We start from the raw sequence: 12,010 nt of genomic DNA, 5'->3' as shown, positions 1-12,010 counted from the left end.
AGCTACTGCGCCTGGCCTACAAAAGAAGTTTTGAGGTATGAATTGTTTTCAGATCGCAAGGAGAAAAATTCACATTTACTTAATTTCCCTTCCACATCTGCACGACAGAGATACATATATCTAAGTATGCCTGAAATCCTGATAGACCTGACAAGTGGAGCCCCAGTGCATGAACTGTGGTCGGACTGAAAACCAATCACTTTCCCGGGTCATTCGTCAAGTCTTACGGGAGTTAAGATCTTAGGAATGCGGTGTTCTACTCAGCAGCATATTCTCAATAAGTAGCCTCATATCATCTCAGCAAGTTAGGATACGTAACATTCACTTGAAACTAAAGCTGCACTATAAAGAGATCCACTCTCTCCTTGTTTTAGAAGATCTTGCAATATCTTCTGCAGTTAGCCACTTCCTGTGCTCAGAGGTGTGTTCAATTCGAACCACTCTTGCCTGGTTTCCTCCTGTGCTCCAGCATAATCTTTATGAACTATAATCGCCAGGGCTTTGAACAAGTGGAAGAGCACCTGCACCAGTGGGGAGGGAGAGGGAAGGAGAGGAGGCAGAGGGATGGGGGAGAGGGGAGAGTTATCTAGTCACCTGTGAGCGGCACCTCCTTCCTTCACTTGAGTGACAACGATAGCGTGAGGTGAGCGCTTTGATCCTCGGCCTCCACTAACCTGAATTCCCAGCCCATCCGATTCTTTGAGCAGCTCCATCTTCCATATTCGGCCAACTTCCTCCTTGGAAGAAAAAGTGAGCACACCATGAAGGAGGTTGACAGACACACGGCATTGACACAGGAGAACGGAGCTGTCACGTCTGGCCGAATATCCATCACTTGTCCACAGATATCACAGATTATCACAGGAGAAAAGAATTCTGCCGATTGGACCCAAGTCTCTGGCTGGCAGTGCTGTCCAATAGAACTTTCTGTGATCATGGAAATGTTCTATATTTGAGCCATCCAAGACGGAGCCACCAGCCACAGGTGGCTATTGAGTGCTTGCGATGTGGCTAGTGGCAACTGGGGAACTGAAATTTGTAACTGAATTGAATTCTAGTTAAATTTCAAGAGCCACCTGTGGCTAATGACTATGCTATGGGCAGCATAGCAAAGTGATTAAATTTCCTGAACAGGGTCCTGTTAGGTGAAGCTGCTTCTGCCTGAAACCCGGATGCCACTGTGCACGTCAACACTGGCTATTTCTGGGGGCCTTTGACTTCTGCACAGCTACTAATTAACAAAGATGAAAGGAAGGCAAAGCTCAGGTCTTGGTGCCAGGAGACTTCAACTAGTTGGAACCTAGCTCTGCCATTTATAACTTATGAAAGCCACCTAATGCTTAAAAGTCTCAGTTTCCTTGCCTCCAAATTGGGAATTTAGTATTTCCAGGTTTGTTCTTAGAATTAAATGAGACATTTGTGCAAATAGGTGGCAGTACAACACCCAGTAAATAAATGTTGATAGGTAACTATATTACTTATATATACACATATAAGCATATTTATGTTAAAAACACCATATTGAGGGCCAGGTGCTTTGGCTCATGCCTGTAATCCCAGCACTTTGAGAGGCCGAGGCAGGTGGATCACCTGAGGTCAGGAGTTTGAGACCAGCCTGGCCAGCATGGTGAAACCCCGTCTCTACAAAAAATACAACAAATTAGCTGGGCATCATGGCAAGTGCCTGTAATCCCAGCTACTCAGGAGGCTGAGGGAGGAGAACCACTTGAACCTAGGAGGTGGAGGTTGTAGTGGGCCAAGATGGTGCCACTGCACTCCAGACAAAGCAAGACTCCATCACCAAAAAAACAAAAAACACCATATTGAATTGAATCTCAAACTTCCTTAAAACATATAAATGAGACGTTTGGTAGAGAAACCAAAACAAAAAATTAATTGATGAATTTGATACCCACTGCCACAGACACTGGGCTGCACGTTCCCTAAATACATTTAAGAAATGCTTCAACCCCTATAAAAATCTTTAAAAAAAAAACAAAAAACAGGCTGGGCGTGGTGGCTCATGCCTGTAATCCCAGCACTTTGAGGAGGCCAAGGTGGGGGGATCACCAGAGGTCAGGAGTTCAAGACCAGCCTGTCCAACATCTCTACTAAAAATATAAAAAAATTAGCCAGGCGTGGTGGTGGGCACCTATAATCCCAGATACTCAGGAGGCTGAGGCAGGAGAATCGCTTGAACCCAGAAGGTGGAGGTTGCAGTGAGCCGAGATCACACCACTGTGCTCCATCCTGGGTGACACAGTGAGACTCCATCCCCCCAACAAACAAAAAAAACAAAAACAATAAATAAATAAATAAACTAATCAATGTCTCTAAGCCATCTGATTGCTGATAGCTTTTCCACCTTGGTTTATCCTCTGCTTGTCTCCTTACTTCACTCCAAGGACACACACATATGCTCACTGCAAAACTGTTGACTTCCCCCAAGTCCTTAGCTATTTAGAGAAATGAAAGCAAAACTTTCCAAAGTGATTTACTTTGGGGTCTCACTTCAGACTCACCCCTGTAGCTCTTTTTAGCCCTAGCTATATGGGCCTGAGTCACAAGACATATGAAACAAAAGCCATCTTCATATGAAACAAATGACATATGATATATGAAACAACATATGAAACAAAAGCCATCTGCTTTTAACATCCATCATGAAAAGTCCAATGGAACCGTTAAGGTACAACATGGACAAAGCCACCATCCCCCTAGAAATAGGCAACCTGCCTGTTCAAGCTGCTTGCAAAGGAGAAAGAATGTGTGGCATTTAGAAAATCTGAAATACACAGTCAGAAACTGAAATGAAACTTTATGCAACAGTAAAAAAAACAGATGTTGGGCAGTCATTGATGTGCAGCAATAGGAATGTCTGGGGAAATTATTAGCAGACAGAGACCTGTTGGATCCCACACTCCTTCGGGTAGCGTGCTGTTCGGTGGGGCTCCGCTATCCCAGGAACAGACGCTGGTGCCAACTGTCTCCTCCATCCCCTGACCACAGTCAAATGAAGCCTGTCTGGCCAAATGTAACTTCAGAAGTCACTGGCTTACCACAGTAGTTCATGAACTTGTCAATGATCTCTATTTCATCCAATCACCTCATTTTGGACTCTATGGTTTTTGGTTTGCTGCCTCTGACCTCTGGAACACCTTTCCCTTCCCCATTCAGAAACATCCTCCCTGGCCTTCGAAGTCTCTCATGGCTCTACTACTTCCAAAAAGCCATCCTTGAGGAGCAGTGCAACCACCAAGATGGCAACTTTCAACACTTCCAATGGGGCCCGATGGCCTAGTGGATACCATTGAAAAGAACAGAATCAGGGATGTGCTGACTGGATGTTGTCCTGGCTTTCTGGGCCTCCCACGCCAGCATAGGGAGCAGCCCTGTGGCGGCCTCACGGCACACGCGAGAGTAGGATGGTGGCTTTTTTTTTTTTTTTCCATGGAAGAGGCACACTTGAGAGAAGGATGCTGGCTGTTTTTTTCCGTGGAAGATATGCTCTGGCTGCTGGGGTCTAGAAGATGAGTGTTTCTTCCTCCCCCAGGACAGAAAAGCTGTGAACCTCTTTCCCAAGAGCAACAAGGACCATTCTTAGAGTCCAGAAATAAGAAAATCTATTTGGGTTTTAGCGCAAATTAGTAAAAACCTATCCATCCCCCTTACTAGTTTACACCACCATTCTTTTCTCCTTTTCCCCTCCTCTTTGTTAAACAAAACATGTAAGTATGGTTAACAAAGGATGTGACAATACTAGGTACATTCCTTTCTAATTTTTAAATACTTTTAGAAGTAGGACATGTGACAAGAAACATGCAAAACGATGTTCATGGGAATACAATATCAGCTCAAATGTATATATATATATACTGACAGAAGAGTTCAAGACACTTTCCATCAAGAGCACCCACATTTCCACTCCACTTGCCTGCCCCCAGCCCCAAACCACAAAACTCGTTAAAAATAAAGTCATGCAAAACACTTAACAAATAAAACTGGCTTCAGAGGGCAGAAATCACTAATCTGTAATACAGCCCCCAACTACACTACTCAAGAAACAGACCTTCTTTTTCACTTTTATCCGATAACATAATTTTTTTTTAATTGAAAGTAGGAGATAGGAGGGGAGTGTCCAAAGAAATTAATGCAAGTTTCCTCACCTTGGAATTTCTGATCATCTAATGAAGGGAGTTCAGAGGACTACAAAGGAAGACACAAGCAACAAGAAGTAAATGTTAGCAGTTTTTTTTGTTGTTGTTTTGTTTTTTTCTTTCGAGACAGGGTCTCACTCTGTCACCTAGGCTGAAGTGCAATGGCACAATCTTGGCTCACTGCAACCTCTGCCTCCTGGGTTCAAGTGATTCTCCTGCCTCAGCCTCCCGAGTAGCTGGGATTACAGGTGCACACCACCACATCCACTCAGCTAATTTTTGTATTATTAGCAGAGACAAGGTTTCACCATATTGGCCAGGCTGGTCTTGAACTCCTGACCACTGGTGATCTGCCCACCTCGGCCTCCCAAAGTGCTGAGATTACAGGCGTGAGCCACCGTGCCGGGCCCACAATTGTCAGTTTTAAAGGTATTTGCCTACAGCAACGTTCAGTAAAAAATAAATCAGTGTCTGATATTTACTAGGCTAAAACTTGTACTGGCCAAAATCTAACAGGCCAACTTAAATATAACGATATTAAGGATATTTCCAACTGCCTCCTTAACAATTCCACTTGGGTATCTGATATACACCTTAGTACAATCAAAACTGGACTTTTTTCCTCTCTTACTCCTGGCTTTCCCATCTCAATGCAAACAGCATTATCCTCTACTCAGGCTAAAGATGATCCACAAGCCAAAAGTCCGTGAAGTATCTTTGATTCCTTCTGTTTAATCTCCCACATCTGAACCACGAGCACCATCTGTAGAGTCTACTTCCGAAATAGATGCCAGATCCACCGACTTTGGCCTTCTCCTCTCCCTAACCTCCCCCGTCAAAGTGACCAGCATCTTTAGCTTGGGTGACCACAATAGCCTCCAGTTTGGTCTCCCTTTTAAATTTCACCTCCTACAATCCATTATCCTCCATCAAACATCCAAGGGGAAGGTTTAAAAAACATAGGCTGTGATGCACTCAGCATAAGCCCTCCAACAACTTCCCACAGGACCGAGAATAAGGTTCAAACTCCAAGGTGGCATATGCGAACCTCTGTAACCAGCCCTGCCCACACCTCCTGAATCATCTCCTGGTGCCCAGTGTCTTTCTCATGGAACACTCTGTCATTCCTGCCTGAGGGCAGATGCTTTGCTGGTTCTTCCCTGGGAACATTCTGCCCCGGATTATGCAGGGCTGCCCTTTTCTGACACTCAATCCTCAGCTCAAACATCGCCTCTTTACTGAGATCTTCCTGCTCTGACACCCAACATCAACCAGCCCCCTGCCCATGACACTGCCCGGCCAGCTTTCACTTCACCCTGTTTTATTTCATTGACTCATCAGCTTCTGACACTGTGATTTGTGGATTTGCTTATTTATTGTTTGTGGTATGCTATAAATGCTGTGAGATAAGAACCTTGTCTGTCTTGTTTACCAACTAGTTCTCTAGCAATTAGAACAGTGTCTACCACATTATAATATCCCATAAATAGCACTGAATGAACAAATATAGAATGTTTATCCGCTAATCTTACAGTTCCATGATGGTCCTTGCGACTGAGGTTAAGAAGCTCACACAGATGGGAGATCTGTCTGTTTGCCAGTGTTCATTGTGTGAACCCTGGTCCAGTTGGAGAGACCGAGTTCTGCAACAGACCCTGTCTAGACAGATGGTTTGGGCATTTGTTTTCTTTTACATTAGCTTAAAGGGCAACAAGACTTTGTCAGCCTATTGAGAAAAAGCCAAACCCTGAAAAACTGGATGCTATGGACTTCTGCACTAATGTTGTTGGAGTGTTACCCTTTCCTGTAAACTGCCAATTACTGCGTGAGTTCACACATGTATCCCTTCACTGAAGCCAACGAAGGGATTTATTTACCAAAACAGGAGCGGTACATTAAAGGGAGCTGTCTCACAGCATTTAAATGACCTCATTACTGCTGGAACCAAAAATAAAACTTTATAACAGCAACTTTGCCCCATATGTGAGAAGACACAATCCAACCAGAATCTTGCTGCCGTAAATACTCCGGCGCTAGTTGCAAACCTTTTCTGAAACCGTTTGCTTACCCCTTCTTATTCAGAATGATCAGTAAGAAATGGGTGAGCATAATGTCAGAGCTGGAAGTCCCTTAGTCATCAGACCAAAATGCTCAGTTTATAGGTGAGAAAACAGAAGGCCAGAGAAAGGCCGCAGCAACCTGAAGGCCACAGTGCTGGGGATGGCAGAACTGAGGCAGGAACTTCAGGGTCCCATCTCCCAGGACTAGTATTCTTGGGGCCTTGATTAATAAATACCTACAAGGCACTGAGCTAAGACGGGAAACAAAGACAAAGAAGGCCCCGCCCTGCACTATTCACAATAGCAAAGATACAGAATCAACCTAAGTGTCTATCAATGGCTGACTGGATAAAGAAAATGTGGTATACACCAGGCCAGGTGTGGTGGCTCATGCCTGTAATCCCGGCACTTTGGGAGGCCGAGGCAGGCAGATCACTAGAGGTCAGGAGCTCGAGGCCAGCCTGGCCAACATGGTAAAACCCCCTCTCTACTAAAAATACAAAAAATTAGCTGGACATGGTGGCGTGTGCCTATAGTCCCAGCTATTTGGGAGGCTGAGGCAGGAGAATTGCTTGAACCCAGGAGGCAGAGGCTGCAGCGAGCCAAGATCGCGCCACTGCACTCCAGCCTGGGTGACGGAGTGAGACTTCGTCTCAAAAAAAAAAAAAAAAAAAGAAAAGAAAATGTGGTATATACCACAGAATACTCCTCAGCCATAAAACAGAATTAAATCATGTCTTTTGCAGCAACATGGATGGAACCAAAGGCCATTACCTTCAGTGAAATAACTCAGGACACAAAGTCAAATACTCCATGTTCTCACTCATAAGTGGGAGGTGAACAATGGCTGTCCGTGCAGAGTGGAATAACAGACACTGGAGACTGGAAAACGGGGAAGCAGGGTGAGAGCTAAAAAATTATCTATCAAGAAAAATGTTCACTATTCAGGTGATGGGCACGTTAAAGCCTGAACTTCATCACTACGTAATATATGTGTTGAAGAAATCTGCACCTCCATCCCCCAAATATATAAAACATTTTTAAAAAATCAAAGGCTTTGCTCTTAAAGTCTACTGGGGACACGATGAGCCAAATGGTAATTGGAATACGTCGGGCTCGGGCATGAATGAAGACCAGCAGAGGGTACCGCAGGAGACCGAAGAGGAGATGGCTAATGACAGAGCAGGCGGCAGGAATGTCACAGAGACCTCCTACAGGAGGGTGTCTTGAGGCTTGGTCCCCTAGGAAAGGTAGAAGCTAAGCGACGTGGGAGAGGGGAGAAGAAACCAGGTAGTGAGCGGAGCACTCGCAAAGGCTCAGAGGTGACACTAAGTATGGTCTTTGAAAAAGCTTGCAGTGAATTCACTCCAAATCAGGGAATAAGAAACTGGATATCAGGGATAGCTTCCAGACGGGGGTTAGTTACCAGAAAGGACAGGCCATGAGAAGCTTGCAACTTTCTGCCCTACCCCCATCTTCTGGAGTCAGGGGAGAAATGCTGGATTTTGAGTTAACAAATGATCATGCCTTCAGGATGAAGCCTTCATACAAATCCCTAGAGTATGAGGTTTGGAGAGCTTCCAGGATGGTGAATACATCCACATGCCAGGAGGGTGAATACATCCACATGCCAGGAGGGTGATGCACCCCCCCCACCCCCATCTCCACAAGGACAGAAGCTCCTGTGCTGGGAACCCTCTGGACCTCGCCTTATGTAATTCTTCATCTGTATTCTTTATTATATAATAAACTGGTAAAGGTAAAAAAGAAAAAAAGAAAGCAGTGAGAGATGGAGGCAGACAGTTAACCAGGAATCAGATAATAAAGGGCCTCAAATGACATCCCAATGTGTTTGGTAACAACCACGAAGGCAAAGTGGACCCACCAAACGGGTTTCAGCTACAGTGTGCGTGTGTGTGCATGCACATGTATGTTGTGCACCTATGTGTATGTGTGTGAGTAATGAGATGTGCTGTTTAGAAAGGTCCCTCTGGTGGCAGTTGGGACAGTGGATGAATGGGATAGGAGTGGGGCGATGTCCCGGGTAGGGGAGTACTGTGACAGCCCAGGGGGCAAAATGAAAGCAGCCTAGCCCTGACCTGAAGTTATGGGAGTAAAGAGAGAGGCAGGTTGAGCTGCAGGATTTCAAAAGGAGCTACAGTTGAGGGGACTTGGTGATTGACCAGACATGGCAGAAGGCAGTGGGCAGTGCTTCAGGTGACTCCAAGATGACCAGCTGTCCCACTCTCCCTAGGACGGAGGGTTTCCCAGGATTTTCAGTGAGAAACCAGGGGAAGTTCTGGACAAACCAGGATGGTTGGTCACCCCCAATGAATCTCATCAAACTTCCAGCTTGGGCAAACTTTGGGGATGGGGAGACCTGGAGCACTGGAGTGGGTTCAGCGGTATGGGAAAATGATGTGCTGAGTTTTAGGCATGATGTGAAATATATCCAAGATGGAGACATCCTGCAGGCAGTTGGCACAAAACTCAGGGGCTCAGGAGAGAGCTGAGGGCTCAGACACAGACTTGGGAGATGTTACCATGTAGGACAATGTGAGTTCACCCAGTGACCAAGGGGGCTTCCTGGAAAAGGACCATCCTCAGGCTGCCTCTGATGCAAACGTGAGGGCTCATCAGGGAGATGTTCTGAGTGTGATGCTCCTTCTGAGTTTTCTACTCGTTTCTGCAGATGCAGATCCAGGAAGCCTGCATGAGGTCTCTGCTGAACCACTTACAGAGGAGGCATAGGAAAAGGGTCTGGTAGTGTACAGGGTAGATTACGATTCCTAGGGAAAGACCACAAATGTACCCATAGACATACCCATGCCAGTCATGAATAAACTTGTCTGCTTGGCAAGTGGTAGGGTTCTTTTTTTGCTATGTGACTACATTTGGTTGTATTCATTTTCAACATGTAGCATTACAAAAATACATTACATTCTATATAAGCAGACTCGCAAAAACTCTCAGAGTAGTAAAGATCTTTGCTAAGAAGATAATGAGGAACTTTGAACTCATGCCTAAAATAGTTTGTCTATGTCCTAGGAGATTGTTTTAGAGGACAAACCCAACTTTGTCTTTTTAAATAGTCATCTGCTTATATATGTATTATTGTGAGTTAATGTTTTATAGAAAATACCATTTTTTAAAAAGAAAAATTTGTTTAAAGAAAATATATTTCCTGTTGCTCTGTTAAGAGGGAACTGGATGGAAAAGGAAAGACTGAGGGTTTATTTTAATGTAACATTGTCTTAGAACAAGTAACAGTCTATGAAAAAGAAGTACCTGACAAACAAAAATGTTCTGAATGATTATGAGCTCTTTTGTCATTTATTAAGTTTTTGCAGCTATATTAAATCATTATAAAGACAGAAATGGAAAAATACTGACATGTTTAATCTCCCATTATTCAAATGGAATGAAATTCCCCCCCGCCCCCCGCAAAGGCTTAAGAGGTAAATAGGCATTTTCTGTTTTTCTCGAAATTCCATTTTAGCAAGACCTTGATCTCTGTCCTGGACTAAAAATAAAAATCCCAAGAACTTAAACAATCTTGTATGAAGGTCTATTGGTTCCAATTTTGGTGCCATCAGAATGTGGGGGAAAGCTGTGAAAATCTACTTTTTGCCAACCCTATCAATCCTGGGCAAATGCACCTAATAAAGATAATTTTATGGTTGAAAAGGGTGCTAAAATATTCGAGGCTGAGAAAATGTGTGGTCCATTCTGATTTACCAAGACAAAAAGTATGACCCGGGGCCAAAAATCAGAATATGAATTATAAACAGTTACAAAGAATGCAAATTCCAGATGGCAAGTCTCCCCTTTCTATAGGCATGCGGCTTTTTAAAAAAAATGCCCTAAAGGCAATGGATCAGTTTGGTTGTTTTCACTCTTTCATTTACACCTCATAGGATGTTTGACCTTGAGCATAAAAACAACGCAAAGGAACTGTGATATGTGTAGTCTTCAAATAGCGACTCCAGAAGTTCAATTTTTTTTTTTTTTTTTTTTTTGAGACAAGAGTTTCGCTCTTGTTGCCCAAGCTGGAGTGCAATGGCGCGATCTTGGCTCACCGCAACCTCCGCCTCCCAGGTTCAAGCAATTCTCCTACCTCAGCCTCCCGAGTAGCTGGGATTACAGGCATGCACCACCATGCCCGGCTAGTTTTGTATTTTTAGTAGAGACGGGGTTTCTCCATGTTGAGGCTGGTCTCGAACTCCTGACCTCAGGTGATCCACCCACCTTGGCCTCCCAAAGTGCTGGGATTACAGGCGTGAGCCACTGCGCCCGGCCAGAAGTTCAATTTTAATTAAATTTATTATTAATAGTATTATTACGTTTAATTAAGGTAAGCAGAGGATGAGTAATCTCTTAAAAGTTTAGCTTTTGTTTGTTTTTGAGACAGTCTCACTCTGTTGACCAGGATGAAGGGTGGTGGTGCGATTCCTGGCTCACGGCAACCTCCACCTGCCAGGTTCAAGTGATTCTTGTGCCTCAGCCTCCTGAGTAGCTAGGATTACAGGCATGTGCAACCATGCCCACCTAAGTTTTGTATTTTTAGTATTTTTGGTTTTGCTATGTTGGCCAGGCTGGTCTTGAACTCCTGGCATTAAGTTATCTACTTGCCTGGGCCTCCCACAGTGCTGGGATTACAGGCCTGAGCCCCTGCACCTGGCCCTTTGTTTTAAAATCATTCCAAATTATTTCCACTGTGTCCTAGGTCAAATGAAGGCCTATTCTTGGGACTATATGTGAGATTCAACCTTCTCCTGGTGCCTTAAACCTTCAAATGATTAAGGGAGCCAATACCCACAACCTTATTTTGTTCACATTAGGCTTTCTGTGTATGCACAATCTAATCATTAGGGAAGAAATCCTATCAAGATAGGGTATGCACTGATAAGAAACACATTATAATATTTTCACTGCCCTTAATTTGGAAGAGGTGTATATTATAATCTTTTTTTTTTTTGTCCTTAATCCTTTTTGGGGGAACTTATAAAATTAGTAGCAAATCATTGATGGAGACATCAACTTTTTTCTTATTCATACATTCTATTTACAAATAATGCCTTCTCTGTGTCCAACTTTATGAAGATCACCCAGCTCCTCAAATGAAGGAACATAATCTCTTGAGAGAGGGGCTATTGTAATTCTTTTCAACCCATTGTACATTTGGCTATAATGGCAGAAATCACACTTACCCCCAGGGCACCATTTCTCAGCAGACAAAACTCAACTTGATACTTCTTTTCTTGTTTTGAGACAGGGTATTGCTCTGTCACCCAGGATGAAGAGCAGTGGTAGAATCTTGGCTCACTGTAACCTCCACCTCCCAGACTCAAGCGATCCTCTCACTCAGGCCCCCAGCTAATTTTTTGTATTTTTGGTAGAGACAGGGTTCCACCATGTTGCCCAGGTTGGTCTCACACTCCTGAGCTCAAGTGATCTACCATCCTTAGCCTCCCAAGATGCTGGGACTACAGTCACAAGCTGCTGGGACTACAGTCACAAGCTGCCGCGCCTGGCCTCAACTTGATACTCCTACGCCCATTTTGATCTTTATAACTTTCTCTTTCATCCCTAAGGGGCATCTCCTGAGTCAGAGAAGAAACCAGTCAGCATCCACGTAGGCAGTTTATCGTTTCAAATGGAGCCTGCAGGAATATCTAAGAAGATTCTTGGAATGAACATGTCTACCCTAAAGAAATGCAATTCTCATAGGACAGAATGTTGGTTATAATGAGGGAGACCATTTGAGGCTAGAAGCTTACCCCTTATCATTCA

General features: G+C 44.1%; 1 protein-coding gene across 8 annotated transcripts in view; it reads right to left on the bottom strand.

Annotated features, from left to right (window-relative positions):
- Positions 1-12,010, bottom strand: part of PDZD2 (PDZ domain containing 2) — a 471,802-nt gene that overhangs the window by 114,620 nt on the left and 345,172 nt on the right. For 5 of the 8 annotated variants that reach the window (XM_005248269.5, NM_178140.4, XM_011513992.3 and 2 more), the window contains one exon: positions 595-737. The exons of 1 other annotated variant lie outside the window; for it this stretch is intronic. In XM_005248269.5, the coding sequence (XP_005248326.1) occupies positions 595-737 (143 nt within the window). The remainder of the gene's footprint in view (positions 1-594; positions 738-12,010) is intronic. 2 more of the 8 variants (XM_006714460.3, XM_047416965.1) reach the window with 1 other exon arrangement.

Source organism: Homo sapiens, chromosome 5, assembly GCF_000001405.40.
Source record: "Homo sapiens chromosome 5, GRCh38.p14 Primary Assembly".
NCBI classification, from domain to species: domain Eukaryota; kingdom Metazoa; phylum Chordata; class Mammalia; order Primates; family Hominidae; genus Homo; species Homo sapiens.
The sequence above is the reverse complement of the archived record's forward strand: the minus strand, read 5'-3'. Positions and strand labels throughout refer to the sequence as shown.